Consider the following 27,747-nt stretch of genomic DNA (forward strand, 5'->3'; position numbering starts at 1 on the left):
CACCATGTTGGTCAGGCTGGTCTCAAACTCCTGACCTCATGATCCGCCCACCTCAGCCTCGCAAAGTACTGGGATTACAGGCATGAGCCACCATGTTGGTCAGTCTGGTCTCAAACTCCTGTCCTCATGATCCGCCCACCTCAGCCTCGCAAAGTACTGGGATTACAGGCATGAGCCACCACGTCCGGCCACCACTGACTTTTTCATTCTTTCTCATTCTTCCTGGGCCCTCCTGCTGTTGTAGGCCTCCATGAAGAAGTGGACTATTCTGAGAAACTGAAGTTCAGTGATGATGAAGAGGAGGAAGAAGTTGTGAAGGACGGCAGGCCAAAGTGGTAAGGACCCGTTCCTGCCCTATCAGCATGAGTGCATCCCTGCTTAGTGTTGTTGTGTACCCAGAGCATTTCCCAGTTTCCATAGCAACCTGGAATGGCAGACAGATGCTGTTTCCACTTTGTTTTGAGGGTGACAGCTATTGATGATGGCTGTGAAGGAGGGGAGCCAGGGTTTGCCTGCAGGTGTGACTGTGTCCTGTGCATAGTCGGCCTCTTCACCACTGCATCAGTGTGTCCCCAGGTGTGTTATGCAGACCACGTCTTCATGGATTGCTTGTGGCTGTCGTGCCCAAAAAGGCTGCTGTGGCCAAGCAAGTTTGGGAAACCTCCCTGGGTTCAACTTCTTTTTTTTTTTTTTTTTTTTTTTTGAGACAGGCTCTCACTCTGTCACCCAGGCTGGAGTGCGGTGGCATGATGTCAGCTCACTAAAACCTCCATCTCCTGGGCTCAGCGATTCTCCCACCCCAGCTTCCCAAATAGCTAGGACCACAGATGCACGCCAGCATACCCAGCTAATTTTTATCTTTCTGCTGGAGATGGGGTTTGCCACGTTACCCAGGTTTGGTCTCAAACTCCTGGGCTCAAGTGATCCACTGTGCCTGGCCTCAACTTCTTTCTTTACTCCAGATTCCTCGGAGCCTTGAACATGCTAAAGTACACTGGGGGCCGGGCACGGCGGCTCGTGCTGTTAATTCCAGCACTTTGGGAGGCCGAGGCAGGTGGATCTCTTGAGGTCAGGAGTTTGAGACCAGCCTGCCCAAGATGGTGAAACCCCGTCTCTACTAAAAGTACAAAAATTAACCAGGTGTGGTGGCGTGTGCTTGTAATCCCAGCTACTTGGGTGGCTGAGGCAGGAGAATTGCTTGAACCCAGGAGGCAGAGGTTGCAGTGAGCCAAGATTGTGCCACTGTACTTCAGCCTGGGCGACAGAGCAAAACTCTGTCTCAAAGGAAAAAGAAAAAAAAAATTAAGTGCACTGGGGAGGTGAAGAAGCAGAATGCATGCCAGCTTTCCTGAATTTATTTGACCATGTTAATTTTGTCTCTTTTTTTTTTTTTTTTTTTGGATCATTTCCTTGGACTAGTTTAGTTTTGTTTAATTTCCTTTAGAAAATACTGCATTGTACTCTCATCCCTCTAGTTTTTATAATGTTAGTAGCACTTTTAAAATAATACCCCACAATGGCCAGGCACGGTGGCTCACGCCTGTAATCCTAGCACTTTGGGAGGCCAAGGCGGGCGGATCACGAGGTCAGGAGATCGAGACCATCCTGGCTAACACAGTGAAACCCCGTCTCTACTAAAAATACAAAAAACTAGCTGGGCATGGTGGTAGGTGCCTGTAGTCCCAGCTACTCGGGAGGCTGAGGCAGGAGAATGGCATGAACCCGGGAGGCGGAGCTTGCAGTGAGCCGAGATCACGCCACATGCCACTGCACTCCAGCCCGGGCAACAGAGCGAGACTCCACCTCAAAAAAAAAAAATACCCCACAATTAGTTGGGCGTGGTGTGCACCTGTAGTCCTAGCTACTCAGGAGGCTGAGGTGGGAGGACTACTGGAATCCAGAAGGTCGAGGCTGCAGTGAGCCATGATTGCACCACTGCACTCCAGCCTGAGTGACAGAGTAAGGCCCTGTCTCAAAAAATTAATAATAACAATCATACCTATGGTTGTCATAATTTGTATTTTTTGAGTACTAGCAAGTAAGACTTTTTCCTTTGCTTCCTTTGTATAATGCCTGTTTCCTTCACATTTATCACTGCTTTCCGTTAAAATGTAATGTTTTATATTGTTTAGATGTTAATGCTTTGCTGTTGGTCTTGCAAATATTTTTCTCTGTTTTCTTGTCAATAACTGAATATTTGTTTAGTCAAATCTGTGAGTCATCTTTTTCTTTGTTATTTCATCCTTTACTTAAAAGCTTCCTAAAGTAAGTGCCCATCTTCTGGAAAGAGTTGGTAATAATCTTTGCTACTCTTTTTCTGATGACACACAAAAAATGAAATTCTGTAATTTCCTTTCATGCTGTTTGATTTCAGCTGAAGCTTTGGATGCAGTCGGGACATACCTATGGGTCAGTTCCTGGAACACTAAGCTCAGAAGGAGCTGTGATCAAGAATTAAAATCAAAGGCAAAGACATAAACTCTTAGAGACTGATTGGAGCAGTAGGACACTCTGTGTTCCTTGTCTCTTTGAGGCGATGGGAACTGCATATTCCCCTGAAGGAACTGGACATTGGTTTTGGAGACAGTTTTGCCCCTGACTTTGACCAAGGGCACTTCAAAATCAGAGTGCCCGAACGATCTCCTCCTGAAACCTGCTCTTTTTCTTCATGTTCTCTGAGCTGGTTGGTGACCTGGTAGAGACTTAGTGCATGCATCCATGTCTTATTTGGCATCTTTATTTCCTCATACACAATTGGCTCCCAAAACTTGCCCTGACTCTGTCTCCTCTTTTCATTTTCTCTGGGGCCACTGGGACCTCCTCCTTTTCCAGACCATCCATGGGTCCACCAGTTCATCTCCATCCTTTCAGCCTGTCCTCCATGGCCCGTCCTTGACACCCTGCCCATAGTCATCTTCTAAAAACACAGGTCTTTTAGACAGGTCAGCAGCTTTACTGTGGTCTCCATTTCTGACAAAGTCAGATAGGAATCACCGTTGTCCCCTCTGTAATTGTTGTCCCCTCTGTAATTTTCCCCTCTGTAATCTCCTAAGCTATGTTACCTGCCTCGTCTTCCCTCCCTCGCCACGTACGTGTGTGGGTAGACACACAGGCCCACACATCTGCCATCCCTGATTCCCGCTTTTCTCTGATCTGCAGTATTACCGGGCCCTTGCAAATGCTTTGCCCCAGCACCATTGCTTCCATTGTGAGGCGTCCAGACGAGCATGGCACCCATCCCCTTCTTGTCCAGCCACCCCTGCAGCTCTGTTTGGAACACCTCCTCCTTTTCCATGCTGTGTCGGCTCTGCTTGTCTCCTCTTGCTCTTTTTATTGTGGCACTGTTTAGTAGTCATCTTTTGTTCTTTTGAGGGGCATTTATTGAGCAACTGGCTTGTGCAGAGCATAGGGAGGGAGATGTACCAAAAGGAGACGGACACGCACCTGGGAGTCCTGGTTCAAATCTGTGAGCTCCTCCCTGTGAGGGGTGCCCCGTTAACCTTGATGAGACTCAGCTACTGACTTTTTAAATCAAGAGTGTCCAATCTTTTGGCTTCCCTGGGCCACACTGGAAGAGTTGTCTTGAGCCACACATAAAATACACTAACACTAACGATAGCTGATAAGCTAAAATGAAAAAGTTACGAAAAAATACCTCATAATGTGTTTTTATTTTTTTTTTTTTCTGAGACGGAGTCTCTCTCTGTTTGTTGCCCAGGCTGGAGTGTAGTGCCGCGATTTTGGCTCACTGCAACCTTCACCTCTGGGGTTCAAGCACTTCTCCCACCTCAGCCTCTAGTAGCTGAGATTACAGGTGCCTGCTACCACACCTGGCTAATTTTTGTATTTTTAGTAGAGACTTGGTTTCACCATGTTGGCCTGGCTGATCTGGAACTCCTGACCTCAAATGATCAGCCCGCCTCAGCCTCCCAAAGTGCTAGGATTACAGGCGTGAGCCACTACGCCCAGGCCCTCTTATAATGTTTTAAGAAAGTTTACGAATTTGTGTTGCGCTGCATCCAGAGCCCAGGGCCATCCTGGGCCACATGTGGTTGGACAAGCTTGCTTTAAAGTGAGGATCATGAGGACTTTTTTTTGCATCGGTGAAATAGTGTGACATATCGTGCCTGGGGCTCTGTTTAATGAGAGTGACTTGATAAATGGTGGGGCTGAACCGTGGAATTCACATGGAAGTAGTGGGAGTGGTGGTCCATTCTAATGAAGAAAATGATTTGGACAGCTGACTTGGGAATTCTCAAGGCCTCTGACCAGTGAGATCAGAAATGCTTGGCCTGAGTGCAAAAACTTAACATCAAATGTGGTTTGTCCTAGGAACAGTTGGGACCCTAGGAGGCAGCGGCAGTTGTCAATGAGCTCTGCAGACAGTGCGGACGCTAAGCGGACTCGAGAGGAAGGGAAGGACTGGGCTGAAGCAGTGGGTGCGTCCCGTGTGGTCCGAAAGGCGCCAGACCCTCAGCCACCGCCCAGGAAGCTTCATGGCTGGGCACCAGGCCCTGACTACCAGGTACCAAGGGCCCTTGGCTGTCCTGTGTATTTGTACTTCATTGAGTTGGGTGGCTGGGTTTCTGAGAAGTCCTAAGTGGGCATTTCTTTTTCATTTTTATATTTCTTCTTTTGTTAAAATGTTTTTTCATAGAGACAGGGTCTCACTATGTTGCCCAGGCTTGTCTCAAACTCCAGCTCAAGTGATGCCAAAGTGCTAGGATTACAGGTGTGAGCCACCATGCCCGGCTGTTCTTACTTTTTTTAAGATAAGGTCTTGCTCTATCCTTCACCTCCCACCCTCAAGCGATCCTCCCACCTCAGCCTCCTGAGTAGCTGGGACTACCTGTGTGCTGCCACACCTGGCTCATTTCATTCATTTTTTGTAGAGACGAGGTCTTACTATGTTGCCCAGGCTAGTCTTGAGCTCGTGGGCTCAAGGGATCCTCCTACCTCAGCCTCCCAAAGTGCTGAGATTATAGGCATGAGGCACTGTATTTGTCTTCTTGTTATAGTTAAAAAAAATTAAAACAGCCAGGCATGGTGGCTCACACAGTTTGCAAGGCTGAGGCAGGGGGATTGCTTGAGACCAGGAGTTCAAGACCATCCTGGCCAACACAGTGAAACCCTATCTCCAAAAAAAAAAAAAAAAAAAAAAGCCAAAGAAATAATTAAAACAGCTTCAAAGTGATAGAAAAGTTGGAAGTACATTACAAACAATATTTTTTCTAAACTGATTGAACAGTAAGTTGACAACCTGATGAGACTCTTTACACTGTGGTACTTGTTTCCTACCAAGATGGGGACATTCCACCCAGGTAACTACAGTTACTTCCAGGAAATTAGCCTTGATAATTGATTGTCGTTTAATCTGCAGGCCCCATTCAGCTTTTACCAGTTGTCCCATTAATGTCCTTACTCGAAATAATCCAGTTCAGAATCACACACCTCTAGCCTTCTTTATCTGGATCAGTTCCTCAGCCTTTCCTTCACTTTCATGACTTTGAGGCTTTGGAAGATTACAAGCCAGTGGAATGCCCCTCAAATTGGGTTTATCATCATCTTTCTTGTGAAGAAGTCCACAGTTTCCATCCTTGGCAGGGATCTTCAGGCATGACCTGACTTTTCTCATTTCATCCCACCAAGGCAACCACGACTTCATCCTGTCCCCCTCTGGCTACGTGCACTTTGGTCTCTTGATTAATGGGGTGCCTGCCAGGTTTCATGCTGTAGAGTTACTCTTTTCCCTATTTGTAGTTGATAAGAATTTTGTTGGGAGAAACTTTGAGACTGAACATCTCGTTTTTGATCAAGCTTTTAGTTTACTCATTTATTTACATCAGTGGGTGTAATCTACTCTCACCTGGTTGGCCATTGGGTGTTCCTTCAGGCCAGTGCGTGTCCTTTTTCCCTGTTCTCCATCCTTTTTGGAGCCCTTCCTTCATCTTTCCCGGATGCATGACCTGTCTTGTCCTGGGTCCGCCCTTTCTCCATGAAGTCCTAGTTCCTCTTAGTGAAGGATGATATTTAGAAACCAGTGTCTGAGACCCAGCAGGCTCCTTGCTGCTGGGGTGTCACTGCTTCCGGGCCTCCTCAGCGGACAGTTGCGGGGAATGTATGTAGGTATATGTGTGTGCACAAATACACACTTTCATATTTGTATTATTTCTGTACCTGTCCATATTGGAAACTGTGTTCTCATTGATACCTCCAGTTCCACAGACTTTGTTCCACTTCCTCCCAGTGCATGTTTGCACCTCCTTTCTGTGACAGGGAGAATCTATCTCTCATCGTCCCTCGTATTTATACTCACTTGGTCAGTCTCCCCATGTATGACCAATCTCATTTCTGCTGCCACACTCTCTCCCTTGCACATATGCTCTCCTTGCCCACTCAGATGTCATTGTCCCCACTCCTGGATGCCCTGAATGTCCCTGCTGGGCCAACTCTGCCTATGAATGTCCCCCTCATCTAGCTTGGGCTTTGGCCCCACACCTCTACCTGCATGCCCTCCTCCCCTTGCCTGGGCTCTAACCATTTGGAGTGCAGTCAGCCGCCAGGACTCCCTGGCACCAGGCTCCTGGCTTGCATTGCCACACCTAGTGACTCTGGGACTGGACTGTTGAGGAGTGGGAGGGCTGGGGAAGGGGGAGTCATGACTTTGAATACACTTGGTAAAGCCTGCTATTTTCAGTGCTCTTTGCTATTTATTTATTATTGTTTTTGGAGATGGAGTCTCACTCTGTCGCCAGGCTGGAGTGCGGTGGCGTAATCTTGGCTCAGTGCAACCTCTGCCTCCCGGGTTCAAGCGATTCTCCTGCCTCAGCCTCCCGAGTAGCGGGATTACAGGCGTGCACCACCATGCCTGGCTAACTTTTGTATTTTTAGTAGAGACAGGGTTTTGCCATGTTGGCCAGGCTGATCTACCCTGATCTACCCACCTTGGCCTCCCAAAGTACTGGGATTTCAGGTGTGAGCCACTGCGCCCGGCCTGCTCTTTGCTATTGAAAGGGCTTCTATTCCACATTCTTATAAAATGAAAATGCCCCTCAGCTACAGTCTTCTTATTGAATATTTATTGTATGCCAGGCACATACATATGTGCTGGGTACAAGAGATACAGAAGTGAAACAAAATAGACACAATGCCACTGCTCTTGGAAATTATTCTGCAGTTAATCCACATTTTCATTCACATGTTGAGGTTGCTCCGTATTCCTTTTTTTTTCCTTTTCACCAGTCAAGAAGTAGTGCTGATCAGTATTCAAAAGGTTTCACTTTAACCTACTCATAACAGCACTGTAAATTAGCTGAACATCAACAGTGATGAAATCTATATACTAAATTTATGTATCCAAGGCATCTTCTGACCAAATTTCTTTCATTCTTTCTTTTTTGAGACAGAGCCTCACTTTGTCATTCATGCTGGAGTGCAGTGGTGTGCTCTCGGCTCACTGCAACTTCTGCCTTCCAGGTTCAAGCAGTCCTTCTGCCTCAGCCTCCCAAGTAGCTGGGATTATAGGCATGTGCCACCACACCCAGCTCATTTTTGTATTTTTAGTAGAAATGGGGTTTCACCATGTTGCTTTGGCTGGTCTTGAACTCCTGACCTCAGGTGATCCACCTACCTCGGCCTCCCAAAGTGCTAGGATTACAAGCATGAGCCAATGCACCTGGCCTCTTCTGACTGAATTTTTAAGAAAATTTTTAAGAATTCTCAATTTGGCCAGCCGCAGTGGCTCACACCTGTAATCCCAGCACTTTGGGAGGCCGAGGCGGGTGGATCACGAGGTCAGAAGTTCTAGACCAGCCTGACCAACATGGTGAAACCCCATCTCTACTAAAAATACAAAAATTAGCCAGGCGTGGTGCCGCACGCCGGTATTCCCAGCTACTCAGGAGGCTGAGGCAGGAGAATTGCTTGAATCTGGGAAGCAGAGGTTGCAGTGAGCCGAGATCATGCCACTGCACTCCAGCCTGGGTGACAGAGTGAGACTCCGTCTAAAAAAAAAAAAAAAAAAAAGGTCTCAGTGCAAATTACTTTGCAGAACATTTAGTCTATAAAATGATTGCTAATTTCAGGGCCTTTTAGGAAAGCACATCAAAGGTCTTGACGGTGTACATGTGCCCTCTGAGTCTATTATTTCCTTTCCAGGAAATTATCTGAAGGAAGTAATCAGGGCTAGGCGTGAAGGCTATGTGCAGTGGTGTATTGAATCCCATGGGATAAAGGCAGATAGGCAGATTTTGGTATGAGCCATGAACTGATCAATACACAGCCGTTAGAAAGGTATGGATAGACCCTCAGGTTCGATGGCAAAGTGAAAGGAAACTGCACGCTTCGGTTCCAATGATATTATATAAAATGTACCTTCATGCCTCTAAATTGGAAGTTTATAATCTTATGATTACAGTACTTACCTCTGGCTTATGAGAAGTTAATTTTTAGGAAACTCCTTGACTACAGTAAATTTGTTGTATATTTCTTTTACTGAAGTATAACTCACCTACAAGAAAAGGCCTAGATCCTGTTTCCTTGATTTGATTTTTGACAGCTGTATACATTTGTGTTACTAGCATTCAAAATAGGAAGTTCTGTCTTTTTCTGGTACTCAGATCTCATTAGAATTTCAGTGGCCAGAGCTCAGGTGACAGCTGTCCATCATTTGTCCTGTTGCCAGGTCTGCATGCTGCTTGACCCCTGCAGACCAGTAAGAAAGGGTCCCAGTAACTGGCAACCAGCAAGAAACTCAGAAACGGATAAAGAATCCAAAAGAGATTTTTTTTAGGCATGCTTTTTTTTTTTTTTTTTTCTTAATGGGATCTAGCCTTGTCCCCTGGCTGGAGTGCAGTGATGTGATCTCAGCTCACTGCAGCCTCCTGGGCTCAAGTGATCCTTGCCACCTCAGCTCAGTAGCTGGGACCCATAAGCATGTGCCCATCCCCAACTAATTTTCGTATTTTTTTGGGGGGCTGGGGGGTAAATACGGGGTCTCACCATATTGCCCAGGCTGGTCTCGAGCTCCTAGGCTCATGCAGTCCCCCACGTTGGCCCCCACAAAGTGTAGGAATTACAGGCATGAGCTACCGTGCCTTTGCTAGACATGCTTTTTTTTTTTTTTCCCCCAGATGGAGTCTCGCTCTGTTGCCCAGGCTGGAGTGCAGTGGCGCGATCTCGGCTCACTGCAACTTCTACCTCCCAGGTTCAAGCGATTCTCCTGCCTCAGTTTCCCAAGTAGCTGGGACTACAGGTGCACTCCGCCATGCCCAGCTAATTTTTGTATTTTTAGTAGAGACGGTGTTTCACCATGTTGGCCAGGCTGGTCTCGAACTCCTGACCTCAGGTGATCCACCCGCCTCAGACTCCCAAAGTGCTGGGATTACAGGCGTGAGCCACTGCGCCCAGCCAACATGCTTAATAAAGATCACTTCGAAGCTTTATGTCTGACAGTGAATTTCATTTTCCTAGGGCTCTTTCTACCCAGGGGTTTATGTATTGTTGTGCGGGCAGGAGTAGCAGTTTTCGTGACCCAGGAATGATCAGTGTGTGGCTTCCTGTTCCGGTTCTTAGCCTTGGAGGCCCTTAGCTTGCATGCCCATCAGCAGTGGTGGGAGTGTTTGTCGTGTGCGGGTCGCATGTTGCTTTGCAAACATGGTTTTCACCTTCACAATCCTAAGAGCTTCCTTTGTTGTCCCCATTTTAAAAACAAGGAAGTGAGATATGGAGAGTTGGCACTTGGCCTAAACCACATTTCACATACAGCAGAGGCCAGAGCAGGATTCGAACCCAGCTCTGTCTGCCACACGCCTGTGCTGCCTCTTGAAGGTGCTTGAGGATCTTGGGAGGAGAACTGATCCCAAAGTGGGAGTGGTTCCTGTATCCCGGGTCCCGGACCCACCGCCTTATCTCAGAGACATTCTCTTGGCAGAAGTCATCAATGGGCAGCATGTTCCGGCAACAGTCCATCGAGGACAAGGAGGACAAGCCCCCACCAAGGCAGAAGTTCATTCAGTCAGAGATGTCCGAGGCGGTGGAGCGAGCCCGAAAGCGCCGGGAAGAAGAGGAGCGCCGAGCCCGGGAGGAGAGGCTGGCCGCCTGTGCTGCCAAACTCAAGCAGCTGGACCAGAAGTGTAAGCAGGCACGAAAGGCAGGTGAGGCCCGGAAGCAGGCAGAGAAGGAAGTGCCCTGGTCTCCAAGTGCTGAGAAGGCATCTCCCCAGGAAAACGGCCCTGCTGTCCACAAAGGTAAGAGCTGGGCCGTCTTCCCACCAACTGGAAACCCTGGCCTGTTGTCCTCGTCTTGTTACTTGCAACTGCCTTCCTTCTTAGCTAGCAGAACGTATGGCTTACAACGAGATCGTATTGGGAAGCATCAGTTATTAAGAGCATAGGCCTGGGTCAAATGCCTGGGTTCTGATCCTATTTGAACTTCTTTTTTATAATTTCAACTTTTACTTTAGTTTCAGGGGGTACATTGTGTGATGCTGAGATTTGGGGTATGAATGATCCTATCACCCAGGTACTGAGCATAGTACCCAACAGGTAGTTTTTCAGCCCTTTTTCCTTCTCCCATCTGAACTTGTTAAACTAGCTGGTGAGCACCTCACCTCTCTGAAGCCTGTTTCTTCATCTGTGAAATGGGATGAGTATGTACCTGCCAGCACGCGGAGGGGTGTACAGCACGCTCCAGTTTCTGGGACATTGAAACCATGCATCTACTCACTGATGATACTCATCATCGTCACTATTATCCTCGCTATCCCTGCCTAATCAAAGACACGTGTGCTCTAGGACTTTAATAAAACCACAGATCCTTTAACATGGAATAAAAATAAGCCCACTTGCTTGGTAGAATACATTTTTTCCTGGTGTTGATTCTAAAAGGAATGGATCACATGGCCCTATTTTTTTTTTGAAATGGAGTCTCTTTCTGTCACCCAGGTTGGAGTGGTGTGATCTCTGCTCACTGCAACCTCTGCCTGCCGGGTTCAAGCGATTTTCCCAGCTCAGCCTCCTGAGCTGCTGGGATTACAGGCGTGTGCCACGACGCCCAGCTAATTTTTGTATTTTTAGTAGAGACAGGGTTTCGCCATGTTGGCCAGGCTGGTTTGGAACTCCTGGCCTCAAGTGATCCACCTGGCTTGGCCTCCCAAAGTGCTGAGATTACAGGCGTGAGCCACTGTGCCTGGGCAACACGGCCCTATTTAAGAGTAATGAAGCAGTGCTCTATAATGCAGAGTGTCTCTTGTAGCAGTTTTGAAGAATATAATCAGCTGTTTTCTTTATAATTTTCTTAAATAAACTCAGATCAGCTCTTGTTAGGAGACAAGGGGATGTTTGAGGCTCTGAAAGCTTCTCGGGTTAGAGAGTCCTAGTGCCCTTCTGGCCAGGGAACTCATTTCTAGTTTTTCTTCTGCCCTCCTTTCATTAAAGGTTGAGTGAGGACTGTGCCACTCTTATAGGAAAGTTGCACTGAGCATTTTCTGCCTGTCAGGCACTGTTTTCAGTATATTATTGTAATTAATTCAATTCTTACAGAAACCCTTGGTGAACACATGGTAGTTATTCTTATTTGCAGATGAAGAAATGGCCAAGGAGAGCCTGAAAAATGTGCCTAGGTCACATAGCCTTTCTCTTGTTTTTGTTTTTTTCCTCTTTTAAAAAAATGTTTTTTCCTTTATATCCTTGCCAGCAGGAAGTCATACACAGCATTTCCATATGTTGAGTTCCTGCTGTTCAGATGTTGGATATGTGGGCTGTCACTGAGTTCATGGCTGTTCTCTATCAGTCCTTTTTTTTTTGCTGGGGGGAGATGGAGTCTTGCTCTGTCACCTAGGCTGGAGTGCAATGGTGTGATCTCACTGCAACCTCTGCCTCCTGGGTTCAAGCGATTCTCTCACCTCAACCTCCCATATAGCTGGGATTACAGGCGAGCGCCACCATGCCTGGCTAATTTTTGTACTTTCTTTTTTTCTTTTTTTTTTTGGAGACGGATTCTCACTCTGTCGCCCAGGCTGGAGTGCAGTGGCACGATCTCGGCTCACTGCAAGCTCCACCTCCTGGGTTCATGCCATTCTCCTGCCTCAGCCTCCCAAGTAGCTGGGACTACAGGTGCCCGCCACCACGCCTGGCTGATTTTTTGTATTTTTAGTAGAGACGGGGTTTCACTGTGTTAGCCAGGATGGTCTGTATCTCCTGACCTCGTGATCCATCCGCCTCGGCCTCCCAAAGTGCTGGGATTACAGGTGTGAGCCACCGCGCCTGTCATTTTTTGTACTTTCAATAGAAATGGGGTTTCACCATGTTGGCGAGGCTGGTCTTGAACTCCTGACCTCAAGTGATCCACCCGCCTCAGCCTCCCAAAGTGCTGGGATTACAGGTGTGAGCCACTGCACCCGGCCTTATTAGTCCTTTTTAATAAAACATCTTCCACCTGAAGTCACATCTCAGCTCTGCCACTGACCGTGTGACCCTGGACGTCATCTAACCTCTTGACCCTTAGTGTCCTAGTCTGTAAGGTGACAACAGGTGAAGCCTCCTCACATGTGTTGTGGGGAGTCCCTGAGCTTGTGTACGTGATGCGTTTGGCACAGGGCCAGGGTTCAGGGACGTGACTGTTCTAGCAGTGGAGCGTACGGGCCAACAGGAAGAAGTACTTGTTTGTAAACACTTGGTTGGCTGAGCTTCTGTGAGCTCACTGTGTCATTTCTCTGCTGGTATATTCTCTAGGCTCCCCAGAATTCCCTGCCCAAGAGACCCCCACCACATTCCCAGAAGAGGCACCCACAGTGTCCCCAGCAGTGGCACAGAGCAACAGCAGTGAGGAAGAGGCCAGAGAGGCTGGGTCCCCTGCACAGGAGTTCAAGTATCAGAAGTCCCTTCCTCCCCGATTCCAGCGCCAGCAGCAGCAACAACAGCAGGTAAACAGATGAGATGGTAAAAGACTGTGATAAACAGGCCTGAGTGCCGAGCAGATGTTTCCCCTCCTCGTCCCCATGCCCCACCTCCAACTTAGAAAAAGGCCAGAATATCCCTTATGTGCCCCCAAGACCAGTGGGGACGTCAGGAGTTGTACCTCAAAACTTGTGACCTTGGTAGATCAGCCCCTGGCCATTATTTATTTCTCTGAGTGGTGGAGGTCCCTGGGAATGAATACAGTCTTTGTGGTTTATTGAGCTTGTTTTCTAATATTGTTAAGGAACCTATTCAGTGCTGTTTGCAGTGAGCTCCATTTTTCTAGTGTGCAGGCTGGTTGTTTTATTTCAGAGCAGTGCACCTTGGACGTTCCTTAGAGGACAGTGTTTCCCACCCTGGGGTCCTCCCAAGGTGTAAGGGAGGCCTGTGAGCTGTTTGAAGAGCTGCCCAAGAGAGGCACGTCACCTTTGGGTTACAGATGTAGGTTTGCAGGTTTCAAGTTGGACAGCTCCCTTCCTGATGTTGCTGCTGAACTAGTTGTGCATGGCCTTGGAGGGGTCAGTTATGCCCCTCTCACCCATATTTCTTCATGTGTAAACCAGGAAGAATGAATACCTGCCTTTCAGCATGGCAGAGTGTTTCATGCCATATCGCCTATAAACTATTTTATTGGTGTCACCGTTATTGGCTTTTTATAAACTTTATTTTTATTTTTTTATAAATTTTAAAAGGGACCTACTTTTTGTCCTAAAGATCATGTGGATAATGGTTGTAATTCCACCCATCTCTCCTAGTCCTGATAGTCTTGAAGCACTCATCAGCAATCGTGCCTACTAGAGTAGTAATAAGTAAGGGAACACAGTAGTCAATACTAAGGAATAGTGCATTTTGGTGGGACACTGAGATGATACATAGACATTACTTAGTGCACACCAAACAGCAAGGTGTGCAGTAAATTATTACTAATATTAATTGAAAATATTTCAAAACGTGTGTGCCATGGAGAAACAAACCAAGGACTTAAGGCTTTTCCCAGTATCTCACTTAATTACCTTTAAACTTCTCACCTCAGCCTCTTCTCTCCTCTGGGCACCTGGGAGCCTTCCAGGGACCGCCTTTAATGTGATTTTAGAGCATGGGAGTGTAGGCGAGCACTGCACAGTTACTCATGTTCTTGGGGTATAGAATTACTGATGGGGGAGAGCTCTGGAATTACTTGCGCCAAACCTAGCAGCGACAATTGCTCTAGGTAACTCCTTGGGGTGCGGAGGAAGTGATGGGTAAGTCCTTCCTTAAGAATAGAAGGAATTGCCGGGCGTGGTGGCTCACGCCTGTAATCCCAGCACTTTGGGAGGCAGACAGATCACCTGAGGTCAGGAGTTTGAGACCAGCCTGACCAATATGGTGAAACCCCATCTCTACTAAAAATACAAAAATTAGCCAGGCGTGGTGCCGCACACCTGTAATCCGAGCTACTCAGGAGGCTGAGGTAGGAGAATCGCTTGCACCCAGGAGGTGGAGGTTGCAGTGAGCCGTGGTCGCACCACTGCCTTCCAGCCTGGGTGACAGAGCGAGACTCCATCTCAAAAAATAAAATAAAATAAAATAAATAATAGAAGGAAGTCTGAAAGCACCAGGGCAGCCTGTCTGGTCATATTCCCTGGAGACCTAGGGTGTAGACAGGAGGTGGAGCTGGGAGATGGAGGCCCACAGCCTTCTCTGTGGACTGGGAGAGTGAATGACTCAAGTCTCTTGATTGATGAGCTATATTTATTGAGTGCTCTTAATAGGCACTGGGAGTGCCAACAGAACTGTCCAGGGAATCAGCTCAGGATGTGCTGTAGACTGCCAGGCAGGTTGGCCGCCTTTTTGTTTGCGGAATGGAAGGGTGTGTGCTGGAGGCCGTTTGGGTGTCCTCAGAGTGTGACGCAGCAGTGAGTCCTGCCTCAAGGCCAATTCAGGGTTCCTTTAGGAATTAGCGCCCGAGGTCACTGATGGGATAGAGCAGGGTCTGAAATGAACCCTCCTGAGTCAGGCAAGGGCCTTGATTTTGAATAGTTACTGATAATTTGTTTACCCATTTGTGCAAATGTTCTGTATCCTGAGTGTGGTGCTGTGGGCAAGGGTGCACAGGGAGTCTCTTAGGGTTCAGTGAGGGTTACCAGCAGTAAAATCCATCAGCTGCTGTGAGTGCAACAAAGGAGCACTGGCCATTCTGTGGGAGCAGAGGACCGGGGACCTGGTCTCGTCTGGGGGTTACGACAGGCTTTCTAGAGGAGGATGTGTTTAAACTGAAAATCTGCGTTTAGGGATGGAGGGAAGAGGCGCTTACCTAGGGGTCCCAGTGTGTTCCCGTGGCCTGAAGTGCGTGGCAGGGATATATGGAGCAGAAAGTGGAGGGCCAGTCTTGCGAGGCAAAGCTAGAGAGGCAGACTGGGCAAAGTCACACGGGACCCAACCCTCACTGTAACACCGTAGGTCACGAGTAGCCTCGTAGGATTTAGGCGTCGGGTGGAGAGCGGTGGAGAACCACTGAAGGCTCTTTTGAGCTAGGGGTTGACATATTGGGCGTGGGGTGTCTGTGTGAAAAGATCATCCTAGTCAAGGATGGAAAATGGATTGAAGAGGCCTGGAGGGAGCAGGGAAGGGATGCTGGTGTATTATTTAACCTCAGATGGTAGCTGCAGACAAGGAGAGAAGTGGCCAATGTCCAGACATTCTGTGGGAGGCTGCTGTTCGGTTCCAGGAGTGTCTGATCTAGGTGAAAACCTAGCCTGTCTCGTGTAGCACAGGCACAGATGAGCCTCCATTGTGATAATGGCATGGCTGTCCACCAGCCTTGGACAGGGACCTGAGCTTGCAAGCTGTAACACACTGGGGGCTTCCCCTTGAGCAGCTGCCCATCCCTCCCCTCCTTGGTCTTCTGTTCTAGGTGGGCTTTCTGTGCTGCCAGCTGGAAAGCTGGAAGGGCGTGTGTTGGGTGGCATCTCTGTCCCTGGCCGCACCAGCCTGACCAAGTCTCTCTCTCTCTGTGGGCAGGAGCAGCTGTACAAGATGCAGCACTGGCAGCCGGTGTACCCCCCGCCGTCCCACCCCCAGCGCACCTTTTACCCACACCACCCCCAGATGTTGGGCTTCGATCCCAGGTGGATGATGATGCCTTCCTACATGGACCCACGTATCACGCCCACTCGGACCCCGGTGGACTTCTACCCCTCCGCCCTGCATCCCTCAGGTAAGCACTGTGGTCTGACGGTCCATACCTGTATCACCCAGGATAGCGTGGTGGTCAAGGGTGTCCTCTCGAGTTAAACAGATACACCTGGATTTTGGTCTGGCTCTTTGTCAAGTACACAACTGGTCTGAGTTTCAAAGTAGTCACTTGCAAAGTGTAGGTACAATAATAGTTCTGTCATAAAGATTTGTTGGGAAAGTCATGAAGATCGTGTATCATAAATTGCTTTAATTAATTTTAGATTTCTGCTATGTCGTTTTGTCCTTCTTCTCATTCTTAATGTTCTTTGTGCTGTCTCTTTTTTCTTTGATTAGTCTTTCCCAAGGTTTGTCTAGTGCCTTTTTAAAATCAGTATTTGGGCTTCTTCATTCCTCTAACTTATTTGGGTTTTATTTTAATAATGCCTGCTTTTTCTTTTCTTATTTCCTTTAAAATATTATCATATACTTAGTTTATTAATTTTTGGCTTTTAAGATTCTCTTTGCAGTACTAATTTCTAATGTAGTTGCTCTGTGGTCAGATAATATGGTCTGTGTGATACAGACCAGGGGTCAGCAAACTTCTACTAATGACCAGATAGTAAGTCTTTTAGGCCTTGATCAGCTAGTCAGTTTTGGTGTTGTAGGACAAAAACAGCCATAAACAATAGTAATTGAGTGAACATGGTTGTTTTTCCATAAAACGTTACTTGTAAAAACTGGCAGCAGGCTGAGTTTTGTTTAATGGCTGTAGTTTGCTGACCAACTCCTGACTTAGGTTGCTTGACATTTGTTGGGTTTTCTCTGTAGCCTCTTCCATGGCAATTCTTTTTTAACATTCTACATTTGCCTGAAAAGACTGTATTCTCTGGTTGGAGATAGTCCATTAAGTTGAGCATGCTAATTGTGTTGTGCAAATGTCTTCATCATTGCAAGTTTTTATCCCTTTGACCAGTTACTAAAAGGTGTTTTAAAATGTCCCACTATGATGATGGATTTGTCAAATCTTCTTTGGGAGCCTGTCAGTTTTTGCTTTGTCTATCTGGAGGCATACAGGTTTAGAATTTCTGTATCTTGTTCCTTTTATCCTTATGTAGTACCTTTGTTGTCATTAATAGTGCTTTCTATCTTTATTGCCTACTTTGATAGCAATATAATAATTATAGTTTTCTGTTGATAAGTATTTGAAGTCTTTTGTTCCAATTTTTACTGTTAGCCTCTTTGAGCCCTTATGTTTTGGGAGTGTATCTTTGTATCTACAAGATGTGTATAGCTTTACCACTCTGAAAGTCTATGACTTTTAATTGCAAAAGTTGGTCCTTTTAGATTTATTGGGATGATGATTATTATTATTATTATTTGAGACAGAGTCTTGCTCTGTCATGCAGGTTGGAGTGCAGTGGTGCAATTTCAACTCACTGCAACCTCCGCCTCCCGGGTTCAAGCGATTCTTCTGCCTCAGCCTCCCAAGTAGCTGGGATTACAGGCGCCCACCACCACGCCCAGCTAATTTTTTTTTTTTTTTTTTTTTTTGAGACAGAGTCTTGCTCTGTCACCCAGGCTGGAGTGCAGTGGTGTGATCTCGGCCTACTGCAACCTCCACCTCCCGGGTTCAAGCGATTCTCCTGCCTCAGCCTCCTGAGTAGCTGAGATTACAGGCACCTGCCACCATGCCTGGCTGATTTTTTTGTATTTTTAGTAGAGACGGGGTTTCACTATGTTGGTCAGGCTGGTCTCGAACTCCTGACCTCAAGTGGTCTACCTGCCTTGGCCTCCCAAAGTGCTGGGGTTACAGGCATGAGCCACCATGCCCAGCCTTATTGGGATTATTATATTTAGATATTCCAACTATGATATTTCATGCATTCCATTCTTATTCTTCTCTTTCTGTGCCTTTTCTTCTAATTCCTGCCTTTTCTTGGTCCTATTGTTTTTCTTTTGCTTCTACATTTCATTTCTATATGTTAGTGGTTACGTGAAAATTCTAACATGCACCTTCAACTTAGCAAAGCATTTGGGGAGGTAGAAATCTGAAGTCTTTGTCCCTTAAACCTCCATGAAAGTAAGCATGTGAGTCTGAATTCCTGGGAGGGGGACAATTGTTTCCCTGCCCTGGTCCAGGCCAGACAGACCCGCCAGTCTGTTCCTGGTAGTAAAGCGCATGTGTCTATCTAATGTGCCTTTTGAGGATGTGGCCCTTTTGGGTCTTTGTTTTAAACAATGTCTCAGTTGTATCTCCCTGCCCTGTATAGAAAGGCTTCATCCCCTGTCCTGAGTGTTAAGGACCAAGCCTATATCTGACAAATGTGCTTTTCTTGCCCCCTTCCTTGGACAGGTCTTTGAACCAGGCAGGGTGCATGTGTGTGTGCCTTCAGAGGTCCTCAGGTCAGGAAAGATTAAGAGCCCTATGATGTGTAGGTGGGTGGGGTGCTGTATCCACATGAAAGTCAGGGTAACTGTTAACTTCTTTGGGCCTTTGGTTGACCCTGAGATTGGAGCAGGGCTTTCTAAATGAGATGATGTAGATCAGTCTTTGCCTTCTTCAGGACTGATGAAGCCCATGATGCCCCAGGAGTCCCTCAATGGGACAGGCTGTCGCTCTGAGGATCAGAACTGTGTGCCCCCACTCCAAGAAAGAAAAGTGACCCCCATCGACTCACCCCCTGTGTGGAGCCCAGAGGGCTACATGGCACTGCAGAGCAAGGGCTACCCGCTCCCGCACCCGAAGTCGAGTGACACCTTGGCTATGGACATGCGTGTCAGGTGAGATGAAGCCTGGTCCTGCTGCCTTGCCACTGAAGGAGGACTCCAGGTCCTAATTGAGAGGGCCCTGGGATGAGCTACCATCCTAGGAGACACTGCCCACGGGAGACGTGCTCCTTGAAGGGACTCCTGGTTCCTCTGGGGAAGGAGAGTGTGAGGAGGATTGCTTGAATGCTTTGTCCAAGAGGCTCTTTTCAGATGGTGAGACGTAAGGTGAAGGAGAAGTCCCGGGGTCCTCAAATCCTGGGCACAGGGCAGGCGGGTGGGGGCTTCACAAGGCAGGTGGGGTCCAGAGCATGGGTCTTGGCTCATTTCTGTGGAAGTAAACAGAGTTAGCCCTGCCACCCCCATAGCCCCAGACTCTTCACGGCCTCCCAGGCTCCAGCTTGCTCTTGCTCTTTGACCCGGAGGATTGCCTGGCTCCTCTGTCTCCAGGGGGCACACCGTACCCAGCCTGCGGCCACGACAGTCTTCACTCTCAAGGACTCCAGGGGCCACCGACCAATTCATGGCCTGGCATTTCTGAGACGTGTTTAAAGATAGAACAAATGTTGATGCTTATGTTTTTTTTTGGTTGTTGTTTTTTGTTTTGTTTTTCTAGCTTTCTTTTTAAAAAGTGTTTTAGTTTTTGTTTTTGTTTTTTCTTTTTAAAACTAAGCTCTGTGTTCAGCATGGAAACCAGGAACCAGGCTCCAATCGCATTGACTGATTTTTCTGGTTCCTTTTCAGGAATGAAAGCTCTTTCTCTGCCTCACTCGGAAGGGCAGGGGGCGTAAGTGCTCAGCGCGATCTCTTTGAGGAGAGAGGGGAGGAGTACTTGAGTGCTTTTGACAAGAAGGCCCAAGCAGACTTTGACAGCTGTATCTCTTCTCAAAGAATAGGCCAGGAGCTTTTGTTTCCACCCCAAGAAAATGTTCAGGATGCAGGTGCTCCTGGGGGTCACACCCAAAACCTCAGGTGTTCCCCATTGGAGCCTGACTTTGTCCCAGATGAGAAAAAGCCAGAGTGTGGCAGTTGGGATGTTAGCCACCAGCCAGAGACCGCTGACACAGCCCATGGTGTTGAGCGGGAGACACCCCGGGAGGGGACGGCCTTTAACATCTCCTCCTGGGACAAGAACGGGAGCCCCAACAAACAGCCATCCTCGGAGCCTGAATGGACTCCCGAGCCCCGGAGCTCCAGCAGCCAGCACCCGGAGCAGACGGGCAGGACCCGGAGGTCGGGACCCATCAAGAAACCAGTCCTGAAAGCCCTCAAGGTGGAAGACAAGGAGAAGGAGCTTGAGAAGATTAAGCAGGAGCTAGGGGAGGAGAGTACCCGGCTGGCCAAGGAGAAGGAGCAGAGCCCCACGGCAGAAAAGGATGAGGACGAAGAGAACGATGCCTCTCTGGCCAACTCCTCCACCACCACTTTGGAGGACAAAGGCCCTGGCCATGCCACTTTTGGCCGCGAGGCCACCAAATTTGAAGAGGAGGAGAAACCTGACAAGGCCTGGGAAGCCAGACCCCCACGAGAGTCCAGCGATGTTCCCCCCATGAAGAGAAATAACTGGATCTTTATTGATGAGGAGCAAGCCTTTGGGGTCAGAGGACAGGCCCGGGGCCGGGGCCGTGGTTTCAGAGAGTTCACTTTTCGTGGTCGGCCTGCTGGCGGAAATGGGAGCGGCCTCTGTGGTGGGGGGGTCCTGGGGGCCCGCAGCATCTACTGCAGCAGTCAGCGCAGCGGCCGTGGCCGGGGCCTGCGAGAGTTTGCGCGGCCAGAGGACTGCCCCAGAGCCAAGCCCCGACGGAGAGTTGCCAGTGAGACCCATAGCGAGGGCTCAGAGTATGAAGAACTTCCCAAGCGCCGCCGGCAGAGGGGCTCCGAGAACGGGAATGAAGGCTCGCTCCTGGAGAGGGAGGAGAGCACCTTGAAGAAGGGCGACTGCAGAGATTCTTGGCGGTCCAACAAGGGGTGCTCTGAGGACCACAGCGGTCTAGATGCCAAGAGCCGAGGCCCTCGGGCCTTTGGGCGAGCCCTCCCTCCCCGGCTGAGCAATTGCGGGTATGGACGGAGAACCTTCGTCTCCAAAGAGTCACCCCACTGGCAGAGCAAAAGTCCAGGCAGCTCTTGGCAGGAATATGGCCCTTCCGACACATGCGGATCCCGGCGACCTACAGACAGAGACTATGTCCCAGATTCCTACAGACACCCTGACGCATTTGGTGGCCGGGGCTTTGAGGACAGCCGCGCGGAGGACAAGAGATCCTTCTTCCAAGATGAACACGTGGCAGATTCTGAAAATGCAGAGAACCGGCCCTTCAGGAGAAGGCGCCCCCCACGCCAAGATAAGCCCCCTCGATTCCGGCGCCTCCGGCAAGAGCGGGAGTCCCTGGGCCTGTGGGGACCCGAGGAGGAGCCCCACCTGCTGGCAGGTCAGTGGCCAGGCAGGCCCAAACTGTGTTCTGGGGACAAGAGTGGCACTGTGGGCCGCAGGTCCCCTGAGCTCTCCTACCAGAACTCCTCCGATCACGCCAATGAGGAGTGGGAGACGGCCTCCGAAAGCAGCGACTTCAGCGAGCGGCGGGAGCGGCGGGAAGGCCCTGGGTCCGAGCCCGACTCCCAGGTGGATGGTGGCCTGTCGGGGGCTAGTTTGGGTGAGAAGAAGGAGCTGGCCAAGAGGAGCTTCTCCAGTCAGAGACCCGTGGTTGACAGACAGAGCCGAAAGCTGGAGCCGGGAGGGTTTGGGGAGAAGCCCGTTAGGCCAGGTGGTGGTGACACCTCCCCTCGCTATGAGAGCCAACAGAATGGGACGCCTTTGAAAGTGAAAAGGTAAAACCAGACACCATCTGGGCCCTTTTTGTTGTTGTGTTCTGTTCTCAGCAGCACTGAGTTCACGCATGCATGCCGATGCCGCCGTGTGTCGGGGCTGGGGGCCTGCCCCCAGGCCGTCTGTGCGCGTCTCCATTGCCTGCCCCCACATTGCCTGTCTGCTTCTCGTGGTGGTGTTATTGTGGCTAGAGCTCCCACCCCCACCCCCACCCCAGTGGTGCTCTTGAGGCCACTGTCCAGCACCTGACCTGAGAGTCCAGTCATGTGTCCCTGGAGCCCCGCCGAGGGGCCGCTGCAGCGAGGAACGTTGCCTGTGCACAGTGCCAGGTGCCGGTCAGTCCACCAGAGTCCTCTGCTCCGGAGTTGCTGCCAGGCGGCGTCCTAGGGGGCATCGCTGGCCTCGTGGCTGCATGGAAGTGGCTCTTCCTAGATGGTTCTGCTTCTCCACTGTGAGGAGACGTGGCCCCACGGTGGGGTTGCCACCTCAGCATGGCAGGAGCCCAGCAAACGCAGAGGGGAGCAGGCTGCACATGGTCTGGCGAGCACCTCTTCCACAGCCAGAGGCATTCGGGTGATGACCTCTGCTCAGGGACCAGGAGAGGGTCCCCTGCACAGTCTGGGTTGACTGACTGCACTTGGCTTGTGCCTCGGACAGGGAGGTGCAGGGGCTGCTGAGGCCTTCCCTGTCCTCAGCATACTGAGGAAGATGGCTTCACACCTCCACTCTCCTTAGAATTCAAGGCAGAGAAACTCCCAGAGAAGGAGCCACAGGGAACACCGACTCTTTCAGGTGGCATCTAATCCAGCTTTCCAGGCGCCAGAGGCTGACCCTTGGCTTCACCTCAGTTTTCTGCCCCAAGGGCCCTCCGGCAGGGCAGTCCTGGAGAGGAGCAGAAATGCTGGCGTCTCCATTCTGAGCATATTCCCCTTGTCTCTCTCCCCCCTACACTCTGAACATAGCATGTGGGAGAGCCCTGGGGAGCCACTTTCCCCAGGAGCAGGCAGAGCCGGTGGGGGCAGCCTTACACGTATGTTTGCACACGGACATGGATGCACTGTGGCCAGCCTGCCGCTCCTCCCCACCCGAGGAGTCAGCTAGAGGAAGTGGGCCTAGATCAGGGTGCCGGGCTTGTGTGCAGGCTGTGTGCACGTGCGGTGTTTTCCCTCCTTCCCCAGCTCTGGTTAACAAGATCCTCTTTCCCTTACAGATCCCCAGACGAGGCCTTGCCTGGAGGTCTTAGTGGCTGCAGCAGTGGGAGTGGCCACTCCCCCTATGCCCTGGAGCGGGCAGCCCATGCCAGTGCTGACCTTCCCGAAGCCTCCAGTAAAAAGGCAGAGAAGGAGGCCAAGTTGGCTGCTCCGAGGGCAGGTGAACAGGGAGAGGCCATGAAACAGTTTGACCTGAACTATGGAAGTAAGTCATCCTCATATCTTCAGGGGAAAGAACTCAGGCAGAACCAGGGGCCATGCAGTCCTCGGGCCTCCCGAGTTTGCCCTTGCACTGAGTACCTTAGCTTTCGGAACAGCTCGGCCAGGCCCTGGGCTGGGTTCTGGGGCTGTAGAGGTGAGCAGAGTAGGTAGGATTCCCACCGAGTGTTGCTCACAGCCCGTTGAATCCCCGTGACACCCTGCAGCTTCCGGGCTTTAAAGAGAGGAAGCCTGGGGCCCAGAGACGTTCGGTGGTGTGTCCGAGGTCACACACAGCTGTAGGAGCAGAGCTGGGGTTTAAGCTCTTTGCGTGTTCTCTCAGTTGTGCCCTTGGGCCTCTTTGGTTTGGGGTAACAATGTGTTAGATCAGAGGCGGCCTGAGAAAAGTGCGGAAGTCCTGTCCAGGTTTCTGTCGAGCCTGATGCTAGATCTCAGGCGCCTGTTGAATTGGGTTGTTCTTGTCTCCTGGTGAGTGGAAAGACTGTTCCTTCTCGTGAAATCTTGGTTCAGGTGCCATCATTGAAAATTGCGGGTCCAGCCCCGGGGAGGAGAGTGAGGTGGGTTCTATGGTGGGCGAAGGCTTCATCGAAGTCCTGACCAAGAAGCAGCGCCGCCTGCTGGAGGAAGAGAGAAGAAAGAAGGAGCAGGCCGTGCAGGTGAGGGGCGGAGGGTGGGGGGGCATGGGGCTGGAGGGCAGGCTGGCAGATGCCCAGGAAACCCAGAGCCAGAGGGTAAGGGAGTTCTCGGTCAAGCTCAAGGTGGCAGAGAGGAAGAAAGGAGTATTTAGCAAGCACACATTGTCTCCCCGTTCCTGCTATTACCAAGGCCCTTCTATCAATGTAGGAATAGGTGGTGGCATCACTGTTATGCAGTGGAAGAAACCGAGTCTTGAAGAGGGTGACTTCTCTAGGGTGATAACAGTGGAAACTTGTCCAAGGCAAGATGCAGACCTCCGTCACCTCCCAGCTTCTCCTTCCTCCCCACTCCTCATTCCTGAGTGGAATGAGATTTGTCTCCCTCAAGTCAAGTGGATCGTGAACGCTATACTAAAATGGAGTCAGGGCTGGACCTGCACACAGATTACAGTCCGTTGGCCTTTCAGGTCTTTCTTGGGGGGTGCTTTGCTTGGCATCGCAGTTCTGCTTGAGGTTTTGGGAGACGAGCGTTCCACACATCTCTGGAGCATTTTCAGGTGGTGTGATTTTTGGTACCTGGGATACTTATCCTGGGGAGAATTTGTCAGTCTTGGTGCCTTTGGCTAGACTACAGCATCCTTTCTTCCCCTCAGGTGCCTGTCAAAGGTCGAGGCCTTTCCTCCCGTATTCCTCCTCGATTTGCAAAAAAGCAGAACAACTTATGTCTGGAGCAAGGTGACGTGACCGTGCCTGGCAGCAGCCTGGGCACTGAGATCTGGGAGAGCAGCAGCCAGGGTGAGAGTTGGGGGTGTGACCCCAGCTGTGGCACCCAAGGTCACATCACACACTGGGTTTGCTTCTGGGGAGGATCCTGCTTTTGAGCTACGAATATAGATGGAATACAGATGGAGTACCTGTTTGCTGTGTTCCGCTGCTGAGCTAGTCGCTGAATGCCGTCTGAGTGATTTGCTGCTGCAACCCCCAAACGGATACACAATTTTCCTTGCCTAAAATTGGTAGAAGAGCAGAGCATTCATTAGTCTGGTGATCTGGAAAAGGATGGCCCCTTGGGCTTAGATCACACAGTAGTGGGAATGGCCTTCTTTGTTGGTCGTCGTTTTCTCCCACTAACTTATGGAAGAGAAGCAAATGACAGATAGACCAGCCGCAAGAGTTCAGGAGCTCTCTTCTGTGCTGTGCACCCTTTTCTTAACATGGGGAAGGCTCTGGAAACCCCTCCCTGAATGCTCTTCTGGAAAGGCAAACTGAGACCAGAAGACGGTATACGTTACTTCTTAGAACATTTGTTGCCCTGAAAACTTTTTTTTTTTAATTCTATATCAAATGTAATTTTTCTGGGAATTTTTCCTTATAAAATAGAAAACTATTTTCATAGAATAGGTTCTTCTTGAGGTTTAGGTGAGGCAGGGCCCTGCGCTGTTAGCCCAGAGCATGCATAGATGAATAAAAACATGGACATTCGATATTTCACAGCTCAGGCCCATGAGGGGAGCTTGGAGAGGTCACCTAGTGCCAGCTCATTTTTCTGCAAAGCAGCTGAAGCTTCTAGAGGGAAGGGACTTGACTCAGGGACTCCAGGGTCATAGGACAAGCACCCGAGACACTGAGTTCTGGGCCTTGATTCTTTCACTGTTTCCACATAGCTTGTCCTCATGTGCTCGGTGAAAACTTTGGTTCTTGCAAACTACAAAATAACATTCAACATGCCCAGCTTTGATGGAAAGGAAGCACAACCATTTGATAAAACATCAATAACACTACATTTGGTAGTGGCTGAGTGACAGGTGTCATAGTATTGGTGTCCAAAAATGCCCAGGTGCCAGATTGGTTGAGCTGCCAGGTGTGAATCAGATGTGACTCTCAGGTGTGAGTCATCATCCCCTTTTGTCAGATCTTTTACTCCAGAATTCTGCAGGGGCTCATTGGTTTCTCAGACCAGGGGTTGTGTCCAAGGGATGGCTTCAGAGAGCCCTTGGATATTAAAATAGCATGTGAAAGGATTTTTTTTTTTTTTAAAGATGGGGTCTCACTATGTTGCCCAGGCTGGACTTGAACCCCTGGGTTCAAGCAATCCTTCTGCCTCAGCCTCCTGAGTAGCTGGGATTGCAGATATGTGCCCCCACCCCCTGCTAGCATGTCAACTTTTGCATGCATATCTATTTTTCTGGGCTCCGGATCCATGGCCATTCAAAAAGTGGTCTGTGAGCTTAAAAATTTTTAGTAATACCCGCTGGGATCTTTCAAAGACTCTGTAGAAGCCACCAACTTTGGCCAGGAGTGGTGGCTCACACCTATAATCCCAGCAGTTTGGGAGGCCAAGGCTTGAAGATCACTTGAGATCAGGAGTTCAAGACCAGCAACAGAGTGAGACCCTGTCTCTATTGTTTAAAAAAAAAAGAAGGCCAGGCCTGGTGGCTCACGTCTGTAATCCCACCACTTTGGGAGGCTGAGGCAGGCAGATCACCAGGTCAGGAGATCGAGACCATCCTGGCTAACATGGTGAAACCCCGTCGCTCCTAAAAATACAACAACAACAAAAAATTAGCCGGGCGTGGTGGCGGGCACCTATAGTCCCAGCTATTCGGGAGGCTGAGGCAGGAGAATGGCGTGAACCCGGGAGGCAGAGCTTGGCAGTGAGTGGAGATCGCGCCACTGCACTCCAGCCTGGGCGACAGAGCAAGACTCCGTCTCCAAAAAAAAAAAAAAAAAAAAAGAAAGATATATTTTTTAATGTAAAAAAAGAGAAGCTACCAACTTTTAGAAATAGTATAAGTGAAAAGAAGCATGAGCATAGCGGAAATAACGACAGAGAATCCAGATTGGCAGGAGTGAGGGCTCTGCCCTGCTCACTCTCTCCTGTAATCCATGAGATGTTGAGAAACACGTTGGGTGAGGATGTGGAAAGTTGGGTAAGGCTGTCAGACCAGCTCTTCCACGTCAGAGCCGTTCACTGGGTGTCACGGGTAGGGGGCTGGGGTGGCGGGTGCAGGGGAGGCAGGGGAGTTGGATTTCTGCAAGCTGTGCCTGTGCTTGTTCTTTAAGAGCTCATAAACTCTCTAGACGGGTTGCTCTTTGATGCCCTGACTCTGTCTTCCTCCCCTGGCAGCTCTCCCTGTGCAGGCCCCAGCCAACGACTCCTGGAGGAAAGCTGTCACTGCCTTCAGCAGCACCGAGACTGGCTCTGCGGAGGTGAGTGTGGCCGCTGCCCACATGCTGCCCCTGGGATGAGTGTGTGAGTGTGTGCTCACCATCCACACGGCCAGCTTGCTGTGGCCCACCCAAGCCCCTGCCACAGCAGCTGAGCTTGGAATTAGGTTGTTTCCATGGGGCCAAGCTCATCAGTGGTTTTCCATCTTGATTTCTGGCCTGTGCATGGGGCGTGCATGAGCAGGAGAAAGAGAAAAGGGGTAACAAGGGAGGACCCAACGCTGGGTGGGAAGAGGGATTCAGGGCCTCCTCTGAACTGGTGTCAGCAGCCACGTAGTCTGGTTTGGGTCACAAGTGAGATGGGTTTGGCAGCCTCGGTCTGGGGCCCATAGAAGATCCTGTGGTCACGAGCTCTATCGGGGTTGGTGTGTTTGGCCACACGTAAGTTGTCAGGCATCCTCAGCAGGGCAGGATCAAGATCAGGACCAGACTTGGCAAGGGACAGGCAGCTGGGGTAGAAAAGTCTCTGTGCCACATGCAGTTTTACTCTCTGGATAATCGAGTTGGGAGTTTGAGGCTATAACCCATTTTGTGCTCTGCACAGCAGGGTTTTAAGAGCAGCCAGGGAGATAGTGGCGTTGACTTGAGTGCCGAGTCTCGGGAGTCGTCTGCGACCTCCTCGCAGCGCAGCTCCCCATATGGGACTCTGAAGCCAGAGGAGATGAGCGGGCCCGGCCTGGCGGAACCCAAGGCCGACAGCCACAAGGAGCAGGCTCCAAAGCCATCTGAGCAGAAGGTAACCTGGACGTTCC

At 49.8% G+C, this 27,747-nt stretch overlaps 1 protein-coding gene across 5 annotated transcripts in view, besides 1 other annotated feature; it reads left to right on the forward strand.

Moving 5' to 3' along the window:
• The window catches only part of PRRC2B (proline rich coiled-coil 2B), a 126,543-nt gene that overhangs the window by 81,181 nt on the left and 17,615 nt on the right, over positions 1-27,747 (forward strand). For 2 of the 5 annotated variants that reach the window (NM_001384822.1, NM_001384821.1), the window contains exons 10-21: positions 245-335; positions 4,333-4,525; positions 9,932-10,247; positions 12,732-12,922; positions 15,957-16,152; positions 18,677-18,893; positions 19,623-21,704; positions 22,913-23,118; positions 23,643-23,788; positions 24,421-24,562; positions 26,895-26,977; positions 27,543-27,731. In NM_001384822.1, the coding sequence (NP_001371751.1) occupies positions 245-335; positions 4,333-4,525; positions 9,932-10,247; positions 12,732-12,922; positions 15,957-16,152; positions 18,677-18,893; positions 19,623-21,704; positions 22,913-23,118; positions 23,643-23,788; positions 24,421-24,562; positions 26,895-26,977; positions 27,543-27,731 (4,052 nt within the window). Of the gene's footprint in view, positions 1-244; positions 336-4,332; positions 4,526-9,931; positions 10,248-12,731; positions 12,923-15,956; positions 16,153-18,676; positions 18,894-19,622; positions 21,705-22,912; positions 23,119-23,642; positions 23,789-24,420; positions 24,563-26,894; positions 26,978-27,539; positions 27,732-27,747 lie in introns of all 5 variants that reach the window. The other 3 variants (NM_001384818.1, NM_013318.4, NM_001384823.1) reach the window with 2 other exon arrangements.
• Positions 23,531-23,825: a silencer, noted in NCBI's record as "tiled region #9532; K562 Repressive DNase unmatched - State 17:Gen3'". NCBI's record gives its function as "represses a minimal TATA promoter and a strong SV40 promoter by Sharpr-MPRA in K562 cells {active_cell/tissue: K562}" and the evidence as "EXISTENCE:reporter gene assay evidence [ECO:0000049][PMID:27701403]".

Source organism: Homo sapiens, chromosome 9, assembly GCF_000001405.40.
Source record: "Homo sapiens chromosome 9, GRCh38.p14 Primary Assembly".
Classification (NCBI taxonomy): Eukaryota; Metazoa; Chordata; class Mammalia; order Primates; family Hominidae; genus Homo; species Homo sapiens.